The 14,357-nt window shown below is 37.6% G+C and overlaps 1 protein-coding gene across 2 annotated transcripts in view; it reads right to left on the bottom strand.

Annotated features, from left to right (window-relative positions):
• ALMS1 (ALMS1 centrosome and basal body associated protein) overlaps positions 1-14,357 on the bottom strand; it is a 224,162-nt gene that overhangs the window by 163,516 nt on the left and 46,289 nt on the right. For both annotated transcript variants that reach the window (NM_015120.4, NM_001378454.1), the window contains 1 exon segment: positions 14,113-14,206. In NM_015120.4, coding sequence (NP_055935.4) covers positions 14,113-14,206 — 94 coding nt within the window.

The raw sequence follows: 14,357 nt of genomic DNA, 5'->3' as shown, positions 1-14,357 counted from the left end.
CAGGCTCAAGAAGCTAATAAACCAAAACAGATTAACAAAACAAAACCTTGTTTTTCTAAATGATTTCCTGATTTCTCAAAGTTTTTATATCCCTTTGGCCATTACAAATTATTAGTGACACCATGAATGGGGACAAATGAGATAAATAGCTAAGGAGTTAAGATGTACAGCCCAGGTCCTTGAAAGATCCAGGTTACATAAGATAAGGTCTTTTTAACCTCAGGGGTAAAGGAAAAGATTAGTAAAGAAAACTGGAAGAACGACTATAGGTTAAGCTGTTAAAAGCGAGGGAGGAGATGCACGATGTTAAAGAAGAATTCTTGTCAGTTCTATATAAAGTTAAGGACATATATGTCAAACTGTCAGAAGAATGGTGATCACAAATCCATTAACTATGATTTATAAAATGTGTCTATGTACATAAGGAGTTCATGATGAAAAATGGTATGTTTTTAGAGTCCTTATTATTCTCTCAGCCCTGGGAAAGAAGAATACACTAAGTGTGAGTGTTAACAATATTACTACATACTGATATAATCTTTGGAGATTCATTTTCAGAACTAGGGGTGAGTTGAAGAGGTAAGTTTCGACCAAGAAGAGGAAGATGGCTGCCAGAAAAGACTATACTACACCAAAGTTGTATATTGGGTGGGAACTGTATGCCTCTTAGAGATGACATTAAGACTAACAACCTGGGTACAATTTACTCAAGAACTCTTCTCCATACTAAGGTGCTTAGTAACACAGAAGGCTTCCTAGGTGACGAAGACAGCACGGTTTTATTTCCCCAAGTATATTCTGACATAAGAAGAATAAGCAAGCCCTTTATTTCTCACAGACAAAATGAGGTACAATTCCATACTTCCATTTTACATATGACTAAGAGCCTCTTACTAGTAATCGTTCCAAGTCAATTATTATGGGTTTTAATACTAGCACACACAAATAAATTACTATAGCTCTCATTTTGAGCCCTCTAATTCAGTCACTAATAAGTCTGTAACGGGGCTGGGAAGGTAGTGAGGAGGATGGTTAATGGGTACAAAAATGTAGTTAGAATGAATAAGCTCTAGAATATGATATAGTACAATACGGTGACTACAGTCAACAATTATTTATAACGCATTTTAAATTAAAAGAGTATAACTGGAATTTTCACAACATAAAGAAATAATGAATGCTTGAGGTGACAGATACTCCATTTACCTTGATGTGATTATTACACATCGTATGTTTGTGTCAAAATATCTCATGTACCCCATAAATATATACACCTACTATGTTCTCATAAATATTAAAAATAAAAAAGATTTTTTTTTAAAAAGTCTGGCAAAAGCACCTATTGTGTGTACAGAGAAGTAAACTCAAATTCATGTTTTTTTAAAAAGACACCAGTGATATTTTAAATGGGTCTTTGTCTTCATTGTTGTTATTCTTGCTTTCTAATTAATTACTATATCATTTTTATAAGTTCCTAATTATTAATTATTGATAACTAAATAATTATAATTGTGTTGTATTTCGTTAATCCCTCAGTTAACTCATAGATGTTTATCTCTACATTCATTATCTTAAACTATATTCTCTCATAACTAAACTTAACACAATATATCACAGTTCAAACAGGATTTTTGATACCCTTATTACCACAGTGGACGTAAATATAACCCTTCCAAAGTTCCTGCATACTGATAATTCATTAACGTTGTCCTGTTGATAAATGTATGCCATTTAAATAACTTGCAATACAAAATCAAGTTAAATGTAATAAAATTGCTTAGTTTCAAAAGATAATAGGGCACTGTTTTATAACACAAAAATCACATACACGAGCTAACATTATAGCCTGTAATTTAATTCCTAATTTTGTTGTTGCTATCACTAAGTTCTTTTTCAATGCGAAAGCAGGAATTGTTAGGTAAAGTGCGTTATAGACTCTTCCTCATTCCTAAGTGGGCAGAGGTTTCAAAAAGCTAATGAACTGCTGGTGTTGTGAAAAGTTCATGAACTCTGTACTCAAACATCAAATCCCAAACACTATTTCCTAACAGAATAACCCTGGGAAAGTTATAACCTGGTCATAGTAATACCCAGTCATCAAACCACCCTGATAGGTGCACCCCTACTCAAAGAAATTCCCTCTGGGACAGGAGAAGATGTAATTTCAGATCTTGCTTCCAGGCTCCTCATCTTTAAGAGAACCCTTCAAAGTCCTGCCCCAAACTAAAGTCCTCCCTTACTCTGAGCCACACGCAGGTTCCCTCCCTGCCCTGAGTAACTTGCATCTTCAAGGGAGAAGATATCCAACAAATAACAACCTAAGGTAGTAAGGTTAAACAAAAGACTGGGCGTCAATAAAAATTATGGCAGGAAAACTAAAAGATAAATCAATTAGGTTTAGAGGCAGGGAACATAAACCCCAATACCCACCAAAAAACATAAAGAAAGACATATAGGCCATTCAAGTCACAGAGACAGCCTCATGTTAACCAGAGATCAATAAAATAGTGATAAGACACTAATCCATAGGCCTTCATTACAACTGACATATAGTCAATGAAATATGATACTTACATTTATTTGATCCACTTTCTTGAGAACTGATCCCTGCCAAAATACAAAGCCTACCATCTTATTCTACCCCTCCCCCAGTCTACCCAGGCATGTTAATTCATTTAATATTCATCAATTCATAAAGTCATTCAACAGATATTTATTGAGTAGCTTTCACAGCCAGGTGCAAAAATATATATATTAGCAAAGCCCGAGCTCTACCCTCAAAGAGCTTAAAGTCCTGTGGGAGACAGAAACAAGTAAAAAAAAGCAATTACTAAATTCAGTGTAAGGGCAGTGATTAGGGAGGCTGTTTACAGGATACTATAGCAACATATGTAAGGAGTATCTGGCTCTTTCTTAAAGAGTCATGGTGAACAGTGAAAAACAGAAACATTTTCCTGAAAGACAGCAAAGCTCAGAATGAAAGGATAAAAACCAGAAATTAGGCAAAGATGGGCATATAAAAAATAGGGAAGCATTCCAAGTAGAGAAAATAGCATCTATGAGATCAAGGAGACAAGAGGGTCTAGCATCATGAAGAAATGAGAGTAGTTCACTATGAAAAAAGAGGCAAGTATAAGGCTAAGAAGGTAAGCAGGGACCTTCTACTATGTACTAAGGAGTTTAGAATTTACCCCAAGGTTAACAATGGAAAGCAAGAACTCCAAACTAGGAAGTGACATTATCAAGTCTGCCCTGTAAACAGACTATTTTGGCTTAATACTGAAAATAAGTGGCAGAGAAGATGATCAGTTTTCCATTACTAATGCAGTAATTCAGAAAAGAGAATGGGAGTCTGATAGAATCAACGAGATTAAGTGATTGGGCAGGGATGAGGGTGAAAGAAGAATACAAGTTTCTAGCTTGGCTAATAAGTAGACACTCATTCACTGAGAAGAAATAGAGAAGGAAGAGTAGGTTTAAAGAGATGATTGGCTCCATTTTTAAAGTTCTGACATTAAGATACCTATGGGACATCCAAATGAAGACATTTCATAGTAGTCAGATACAAACATTTGGAGTATGAGATATATCTAGATAGAGTCCTACAATTGGAACTCATCAGTCATAGGAAATAACTGAAGCCCTGGGTGTTGATATTACCTAGGAAGAAGTTAAAATCCTTTCTTGCACAAAGCATTGTTTCCTACTATGTCACTACCTGATGCTGTAAACAAGCTGAGGCAGCCAGTACTGTACCACTAACTGATGAACTCTTCAGTTAGCAAACAATCATCGAGACTCTTTCATGCCTTTATCATATGCCAAGATTAGTGTTAAGTATATAATAGAAATTAAATTGGTGCCCTCTCTGAGAAAGAATTTGGAAAAACTGATGGTGTGATATGTTTATGGTAAGGTTATAAAGGCATTTAAAACTTGAGAAACAGAGAGAACAATATGGAATGAAGCTATCAAAATCCTCTTAGAGAAAGTGGGACTTTGGGCAAGTCACTCTAAGTTTCATTTTGCTCAGATAGCAAATAGAATAATAGCAGTGCCCATCATCATAGGTCAGATTAAAAATATAAAACAATATGGCATAATAATAATATGATAAAAGAACATATTGTGCATACCTAATCCAAAAATCTGAAATCCAAAATGCTCTAATGAGTATTTCCTTTGAATATCATGTCAGCAGTCAAAAAGTTCCAGATTTTGGACCATTCTGGATTGTGGTTTTTCAGATTAGGGATGCTCAACCTGTATTATATAATATACATTATAATAATAATACATAAAATGCTTAGCAATGTGAACAAGCAATAAATGTCAGCTATTATTAATAGTTCAGGACACGGGCTGCAGATTTTAGAAAAGTTAGGAAAGTTTCATGGCATAGGTGTCCCCATCTTCTGTGGCTTGAGATCCCTGAGTTTATTCAATATTGCCTGAGAAAGATCTTTACCTCACTTCCCCCATATGATTATTTCTACCAACAACCAAAGACAATAGCACATCTAAGTCAAGTTTTCAAAACTCCAGTTGTCTTCTGGTCCCTGACAAAATGATATAAATTTGCTTTTCCCTCCACTTCCCTAGAAACCAAAAGACAAAAAAAAAACTGAAAGGTAGAAAGTGAAACGCAGACTAGCTAAGGACCTCCAGACTGGAGAACAACATGGCAATGACTTCCTTAGTTTTCTTTTTAACTCTCTTATATCTGAGGCTGGACCCTGGAGAGGCCTGCAGTGTGGAACTAAGACCAGAAATAGGAATAGGAATAGGAATAGTGGGAAGGAGAAAGGGAACAAAGGAGGGCAGAAAGAAGTCCAAGAAAAGCCTGCTGTCTGTGGGCCATGGACCAAGAAACGGGCAGCCCAGCAGACTTAGCAGACAGTCCCATCTCCCCACACCCTACTCCAACCCAGCAGCAACAGGTAGGCTTGCACCACCAGAACTGTAGTGCCAGCAAAAACCAGGCAGAGAGTCCCAACAGGTTTGGCATCTCCCTGTCCTCTAGCCAGTAACAAAAGAAGACCTAGGTCCACCATCTCCTAACTCTCCTGTGGTAAAAGACAGCTCAGGTAGGCACTTTCCTTCCCCAGTGGCACTGGCAAAAATTGAATGGGAAGTCCACCAGCATTGAGAAACCCAGAGAGTAGGTTCAAGGAAATGTTCTCCATCGCAGGGGCCCAGCATCCTACCTAGATGCATCAGGAGGCCTAGAAAAGCATTTTCTACCCCCATGAATGCCATCAACAAGAATCAAGTGGGTGACCCACTGACACCAGTTGGTCCAGGGGCAGGCCCAGGGAAATGTTCTCTACTCTGTGGGTTAGCATCTCCCCCTTCCCACACAGCACCAGCAGGCCTTGAGGAAGACCATTCCACCCACATAAGCATCACCAACAGGGACTGAGTGGGAGCCTCAATGGTACCACTGAAGTAGACCAGAATGCAACTCCCCTGAAAACTAAATTATCTTTGGGATCACAGCCACATAAATAGGCCAGAGCCTATATGGAAAACCTAAATAGAGCAACTGCCTGCTAAACAGAAGATTATAAATAGGAATCAAAGTCTCCTAACATAATATCCAAAATGTCCAGGATATAATCAAAATTCATTTTTACCACTAAGAACCAGGAAAATCACAAACTGAGAAAAGACAATCAAGGCTGGCTGTGGTTGCTCACGCCTATAATCCCAGCACTTTGGGAGGCTGAGGTGGGTGGATCACTTAAGGTCAGGAGTTCAAGACCAGCCTGGCCAACATGATGAAACCCCGTCTCTACTAAAAATACAAAAAATTAGCTGGGCGTGGTAGCACACGCCCATGATTCCAGCTACTCAGGAGGCTGAGACACGAGAATTGCCTGAACCCCGGAAGCAGAGGTTTCAGTGAGCCGAGAGAGAGAAAGAGACAGCAAGAGAGAGAGAGAGAGAAAGACAGCGAACGCGAGAGAGAGGGAGAAGACGATCAAATGATGCAAATAAGATGAGTCAAATTCAAAGAAACAAAGTCTGAAAACATCCCAAATTTGATGAGACATAAACTTACAGATTAAAGAAAGTAAGTCAGCTCCAAACAGGAAAACCCAAAGAAATCCACACCAAGGGCCGGGTGCATTGGCTCACGCCTGTAATACGAGCACTTTGGGAGACTGAGGCAGGTGGATCACTTGAGGTCAGGAGTTCGAAGCCAGCCTGGCCAACATGGTGAAACCCCGTCTTTACTAAAAATATAAAACAATTAGCCAGGCGTGATGGCACACACCTGTAATCCCAGCTACTTAGGAGGCTGAGGCAGGAGAATGGCGTGAACCCGGGAGGCGGAGCTTGCAGTGAGCCGAGATAGCACCACTGCACTCCAGCCTGGGCGACAGAGCGAGACTCTGTCTCAAAAATAAATAAATAATTTTTAAAAATTAAAGTGAAATTCTAAAGTATGTTCATGAAACCCATAGTAAGGCAAGACAAGAGAAACAGGAATAAAGTGAAAATAAATAATAAAATTGCAGACTTAAGGCATAATAGACCAATATTAACTTTAGGTATAAATTGTATAAATAAACAAACTACACCTGTAATCCCAGCACTTTGGGAGGCCAAGGCGGGTGGATCACAAGGTCAAGAGATGCAGACCATCCTGGCCAACATGGTGACACCCTGTCTCCACTAAAAATACAAAAATTAGCCTGGTATGGTGGTGTGCACCTATAGTCCCAGCTACTCAGGAGGCTGAGGCAGGAGAATCGCTTGAACCTGGGAGGTGGAGGTTGCAGTGAGCCGAGATCACACCACCGTACTCCAGCCTGGTGACAGAGCAAGACTCCATCTCAAAATAAATAAACAAACAAACTAAAATACAGATATTAGCAGACAGGATTTTTTTTAAATGACCCAATTATATGATGTCTACAAAAAATTCACTTCAAACATAATGACATAGTAAGGTTGAAACTAAAAGACAGATAAAAAGGCCGGGTACGGTGGCTCATGCCTGTAATCTCAGCACTTTGTGAAGTCAAGATGGGAGGATCAGGCTTTGAAAGGCCAGGAGCTGAAAACCAGCCTAGGCAACATAGCAAGACCTTGTCTCTACAAAAAAAAAAAGATTAGCTGGGCATATTAGTGTGCATTTATAGTCCTAGCTACTCAGAGAGTGAGGCAGAAGGACTGCTTGAGCCCAGGAATTCAAGGCTGTGGAGCTATGATCATATCACTGCACTCCAGCCTGGGCAACAGAGTGAGACTTTATCTTTATTTAAAAAAAAAAAAAAAGAGGAGGAGGAGGAGAAAAAGAAAGAAGAAAGAAGAAAAAAGAGGAAGAAAGAGGAGGAGCAGGAGGAAGAAGAAGAAGAAAAAAGAAGAAAAAAAGGAGGAGGAGGAGAGGAAGAAGAGGAAGAAGAAGAAAGAAAAGAACTATTCTATAGGAGTGGCTATATAAGATAATCTTCAGAACAAAGAAAATTACGAGGGACAAAGAGAATTCTTACATAATTGTAAAGGATCAATCCACCAAGAAGACAAAGCAATCCTAAATGTTCGTGCAACAAAATCCAGTGTGATATAGTAAAGGCACTAAGAAATTGGAATGGAAACTGAAGAGGTAAGAACTAAATCAGAGTAAGAATTTAAACAAAATATCTGTCTTTTTTGATATTTTCTATTGGCCTCTTTCTGCTATTGTATTCCATGAGGTACCATCCTTGACATTTTGCTTTTCTCTCTACCCATGCTCCTTCAGAAAGCTTAACTACTCTTACGGCATAATTTTAATCACAAATTATTTAAGATCTTCCAAATTTGTATTTCCTATTTCCCATTTGTTCAACTGGCTTTGAAGACACTTCAAACCAAATGATCTCCCGACAAATCAAACTCAGTATGTCCAAAACTAAATTCACTACCCTACTTTCTAATGGTGTCACCGATTCTTTTTCAATAATCCAGATCCAAACTTGTTTCCAATTTATCTTGTAATCTAAACTATTCAAATTATGTTAAGTGTGTCTACTTTACCTGATATGTAAATTATCTTGACTCATACTTTGGAGCCAATTTGAAATGAAGCTTGGCAGTTACTTTCTGCTTGTTATAAAATAGGACCCAGAGGTTTGCCAATAAAAAAATAAGAAATCAGGGCAACTAATATCAAGGGACCATTTCAATACAATATGAATCAAACATGGACACAAATATTTCTTTCTTTTGCCTCCTCTTCACCCTATTGATGAGGGAGGGATTGCTGCCTGATAGATCTGGATTGGCTAAATACAACACTGCACAGAGGAGACTGACGGTAGTTTATTAGTCACATATACTCACAGCTGGGGAAGACACAGGACATGCAGGGCCACACAGGGATTGTACATGGGAACAGAACGAGTAAACAGGAACCATAGGAGGCAGGCTTGTAGTAGCAAGAAAAGAGCGTGATTTTTTTTATTTCTGTAGGAGGGTGTGATTGGCTTGTTTGAATAATTTCACAGGTTAGCATGGGATGGAAATCTGAGGTTGAGTACCAGGTAGAATACAGTTGGTCTCGTTGATAGAAGAACTGGCTGTGTAGGAAGCCTCTCCACTGAGTAGAGGGCATATCTGGCAGGTAAACTTGTGGTTAGGCCCTTTGAGGACCTCGCAGTTTCAGATGTCAAGACTGTGCATAATATTAAATCTTTAATGTCAGCCCATACAGCACAATACTACTCTGAGAGATAAGTGAGGAGCTCAGGATCTTACTGGTAGAAATGAGATGTACCATTTTAACCAAATAATTAAAATGGTACAACTGGGTACATCAGTAGATACGATCCATAAAGTAACAAGGCAGAATGGAAGGGATGTCATGGGAGAAAGGCTGTAAAGAAAGAACACTGGCTGTTGATGTTAGCTAATAAGTGAAAAAGAAACAACACAAGAAGCAACCTACCTTCACCCAGTCCCCACTTATAGAGTGGAAGATTTATCCCAACCTGAGAATACCAAGCTCTAATCATCCCTACCCCCAGCTCACTTGTAGGTGGAGTGAGGGTCCACTCCAGGAGAGGCAATCCAAGAACAGGGACTAACTACTACCCCTTTCAGCATCACAATCATAGAGAAGGGGTGTGTTATTCCAAGAGAAGTAGACCAATGAACCTGCCCCCAGATACAGAGCAGTGCCACAAAGCTTCTGCCCAGCAGAGGCAAGCCATAAGAACAGAGAGCTCCACACATCTCCATAAGGAGAATGACTTTGTTTGAAACAGAGCATAAAAAGCTCAAGCCTAAGGACACTGACAAAAACAATGGAGATCTTGGTGGTGAGCAATTAAGAACTAATCCAAACCAGACACTAAATAACGAAACAACAAAAATATCAAACGTTACCAGCCCAGAGAAGGGATCAATATCCAGAGCTGCAACAAGATATTATCCAAAACGTCCAGTTTAGAACAATAACAGAAAAGTAAGATGTGCAAAAGAAAGTGTGACCCCTTCACAGGGGGAACAAAATAGGCAAATTTACCTTTCAGAGGGCACACACATTGGGCTTAGCCAGTAACAATTAAAAGCAGCTATTATAAACATATTCAAAGGGAAGAAAAGGATGCTTAAAGAATTAAAGATAGGTATGATGGCAAAGTCACATCAAATACAGAATGAAAGACAGAACTTAGAAAATAACAAAATGGAAATTCTAAGGCTGAAAAGTACAGTAACTGAAGTGAAAAATTCACTAGAGGCTCAACAGTAGATATGGACAAGACAGAAGAAAAAAATCAGCAAACATCAAGATAAATGAATAGAGACTATGCAAACTGAAGCAAAGAAAGAAGAAACAAAAACAAACAAAGGCTTAGAGACCAGTGAGACAAGATTAGGGGTGCTGATATATGTGGACTGTGATGCAAGAGATGATAACTGGGCAAAAAAGAGAAAGAAGCAGAAAAAATCCTCAAAGAAATGATGGCTGAAAACTTCCCAAATTAGACAAAAGATATTAACTATACATCTGACAAGTTCAGTGAGCTCAAAGTAGAATAAACACAGAGATTCACATAGAGACATATCATAATCAAGATACTGAAAGTGAAAGACAAAGAGCATATCTTGGAAGCAACAAGAGAAAACAAATTACATACAAGAGAACATGAATAAGATAACAGCTGACTTCTCATCCAAAACTATGAAGGCCAGAAGATAGTGAAGAGACATATTCAAAGTGCTGAAAAGAAAAAGACTGTCAACCAAGAATTCCAAGCCCAGCAAAACTATCTTTCAAAAAGATGAAATAAAAACACGCCAGATACATAAAACAGGGAACTTGCAGATCCATCTTACAAGAAATAACATAGGAAGTTCCAAAGGCTGAAAAACAAGTAACACCAGATAGTAGTAACATTTTCATAACAAAACAAATAGTGCTAGTAAAAATAACTACATCGGTAACTACAAAAAGACATACTTCATTTCCTGTATTCTGTTAACTGATTTAAAGAGCAATTTGAAAATATATAAAGCAGGCTGGCATGGTGGCTCACACGTGTAATCCCAGCACTTTAGGAGGCCAAGGTGGGAGGACTGCTTGAGCCCAGGAGTTCAAGACTAATAACATAGTGAGATCCCATCTCTACCAAAAAAATTTTTTGAAAAATTAGCTCAGTGTAGTGGTACACACCTGTGGGCCTCACAACAGAGGAGGCTGAGGCAGGAGGATCACTTGAGCTCAGGTTAGAGTGAGCTATGATCATGCCACTGCAATCCAACCTGGGCAACAGAGCAAGTCCCCGACTAAAAAAAAAAACAAAAACTTAAAGGCATTTATATACGTGTGTGAGTAGTATGTATAACAATAATAGCACCAAAAAAAAAGAGGGAATAGAGCTATACGGGAGTAAAGTTTCTGTACCATACTAGAATTAAGTTAGTATAAATTGAATCAGAAGTATATTCTGATAAGATAAATATTATAAGCCCCAGAGTAATCACTAAGAATATAACTTTAAAAAAAACTACCTAGAAAATCATTTTAAAAATTAAACTGAAAGTGTCATACTAGAAAATATTCACTTCATGCAATAATAAAAGGGGAACAGAAAAAGGACACAAGACACATGAAAAACCAAACGTAAGCCAGAAAATGTGAATCCAATCACATCAATAATGACATTAAATGCAAACAGATTAAATAATCACATCACAAGGCAAAAACAGATAGAATTTTAAAATTAAAAACTCAAGATTTAACTATATGCTCTTTACAGCAGATACATCATTTTTGATAATACAAATAGGTTGAAAGTAGAGGGATTTTAAAAGATAAACCATACAAACAGCAACCATAAGAGCTGAAGTGTCTATTCTAACCTAAGACAAAACAGACTTTAAAACAAAAAGTTACTCAAAATATGGAGGAACAATTTATAACAATTAAAAGGTCAATTCTAATTAATTGGGCATGGTGGGCACACGCCTATAGTCCCAGCTACTCAGGAGGCTGAGGCACGAGAGTCGCTGGAACCCAGAAGGTAGAGGTTGCAGTGAGCCACGCACTGCATTTCAGCCTGGGCAACAGAACAAGACTCTGTCTCCAAAAAAAGGTCAATTCATCAGGAATATATAACAATTATAAACATATATGGATCTAACATCATAATGTCAAAATATGTGAAGCAAATCTGAGAGAAAAAAGGGGAGAAATAGACAATTAAACAAAAAGAGTTGAAGACTTCAGTACCCTTCTTTTGAAAATGGAGAAAACAGCTAGTCAGAAGACCAACAAGGAAACAGAAAATTTGAACAGCTAAACCCACTAGAGCTGAAAGACATCTATAGAACACACCACCTAACAACAGCAGAATACACATTCTTCTCAAGTACAAACTGTACATTCTACAGAATAAACTACATGCTAAAACATAAAACGAGCCTCAATAAAACTTAAAGACAGAAATCATACAAAGTATGTTTTCCAACAAAAATTGAACCAGATGAAACATAATAACAGAAGGAAATTAAACAACACATTCCTAAATAACCAAAGGGTAAATGTAGAAAAATCACAATGTAAACTAGAAAATAAGTTTAGATGAACTAAAACAAAAATATAATAAACCAAAACTTAGGACATGCAGCTAACACAGTGCTTAGGAATTTATCAATTTGTATACATATTTGTAATAAGAAGAAGAAAGAGCTTAAATCAATAACCTAACTGTCCACCTTAAAAAACAGAATAAAAGCACAAACTAAACCCAAAGCAAATGGAAGGAAGGAAAAATAATGACTAGAATGAAAATAAATGAAACAAAAATCAGAAAAGAAAAATAAAGATTAGAAAAAAATAAAGAAACCAGTTTATTTGAAAAAATCAGCAAAATTGACAAAATTTAACTAGATTCACCAAAGGGAGAACAAAAGAAGGGAAAACTTAAGTTACTAAAATCAGGAATGAAAGAGAGGGCATTGTAACTAACCTTACTGAAATGAAAGAGATTACATGGGAATATTATGAACAGATATATGTAAACAGATAGCCTAGCTAAATGGACAAATTCTATTTAAGACACAAATTGCAAAAGCTGATTCATGAAAAATATAAAATCTAAATAGACTTATGGCAAGGAAAGAGATGAAATTAGCAATTTAAAAACTTCCTACAAAGAACAGCCCAGGTAGTTTCACAGTAAATTCTATTCAAAAACAATTAATACCAATCCTTTCCAGACTCTTCCAAGTGATCCTCCCACCTCAGCCTCCCAAAGTACTGAGATTACAAGCATAAGACACTGTACCTGACCCAAAATTTTATTTACTCCAGTAATTTTTATTCAATTTCTACCATCCAATCCCAGGGCTATTTAATGGATTTCATCACCCTTCAAACTGATCCTCATTTAAATCTACTTATTCAATCTGACCAAAATTACCTATTCTTCTAGTGCTCTCAGTAACTTATTCCCACCTCATCTAATCAACTTCATAAAGAAATCTCTGGTCCTTCTATTTTCTCCTAGAATAACAACTCTTCTGGCTTCTCTTTCCCTATGTAGGCTGAAACCAATAGGTGATCAACTCTTCTCTCTTTGACTGCTATCCTTCTACCATACCCATTCAATGTATTCCTGAACCAAGGATCAATACTGTAATTCATCATCTCCATTCCTGAGTGTTAGCAGGAAAAACAAATCAGAGATTCTATACAGGCTGACAATATTATAAAATCATTATCACTAACCTGAGCTGACTTCTCAGAACTGCCCTCCAATCCTTTTACTTTCCCTTGGTCAGCTCCATCTCAAATTCACTTCAACATAAACTGTAAGTCTTCACCAAACCACTCTCCTCAATGCCTCTAACCTAATTCCACCACTACTCACCTCCCTCAGCAGATAATCTTGCTTTTACCTCAAAACTGATTTCTCTCAATTTCCTCTCTACAAACTTATCTGCATCCACTCTTGTCATCTTGGGCTCAATCAATTCCTTTTTCCCTTCAAGTCACACAAAGGAATAAACAGATTCTAACATCAGACTCCTCCATATAATTCAGTTCTAAACACTGCCATGTAGAATGCGATGAAAAACCAAATGATTCCTCTAATAAAACATCAGGGGACTTGTGATGGTCTGAATGTTTGTGTCCCCCCTGAAAAGTATAGGTTGAAATCCTAATCCCCAAGGTGATGAAATTAAGGAGGTAAGGCTTTTGGAAAGCAATTAGATCATGAGGACACAGGCCACATGTTTGGGATTAGTGCCCATTACAAAAAACGACTCCAGAGAGACCCCCTGCCCCTTCCACCATGGGAGGGCACAGAGGAACATGTCATCTATGACAAACAGGCCCTCACAAGACACTGAATCTCCCAGCACTTGATCTTGGAACCAGCCTCTAGAACTGCAAGAAACAAATTTCTGTTGTTTATAAGCCATACTTAAAGTACTAAGATATTTTTGTAATAGCAGTCTAAAGAGACTAAGACAGGATTTATAAACACATCTAATCTGAAGTATAATTATTATAGATATTAAAAAATACAAAATTAGATAGACCTAACAAGATATTTTTTCACAAGGTATCCGTAAGTAGGACATTTACTATCTCCTTTTTCTACGTACCTGCTTTTAAATGTTTAGGAGCCTTTGGCACAGTGTCAGGAGACATCCTCAACATTCTGAGATCTGAAGAGTGATATTCCGACTCTCTTGTTGGCTTATGTGGAACAAATGAAGGCAATAAAAATGAAAAAGACTCATTAATGCCCAGATTAGAATGACCCACCTACGAAGAAATGAAGAAAATAAGATATTAATTTCAAACCTCATCTGCTAAAAATAATCCTTCATTTTTACAAAGAGGAACA

The sequence above is a fragment of the Homo sapiens genome, chromosome 2 (genome assembly GCF_000001405.40).
Source record: "Homo sapiens chromosome 2, GRCh38.p14 Primary Assembly".
Taxonomy (NCBI): Eukaryota; Metazoa; Chordata; class Mammalia; order Primates; family Hominidae; genus Homo; species Homo sapiens.
This window is presented reverse-complemented; position numbering and strand designations above follow the sequence as displayed.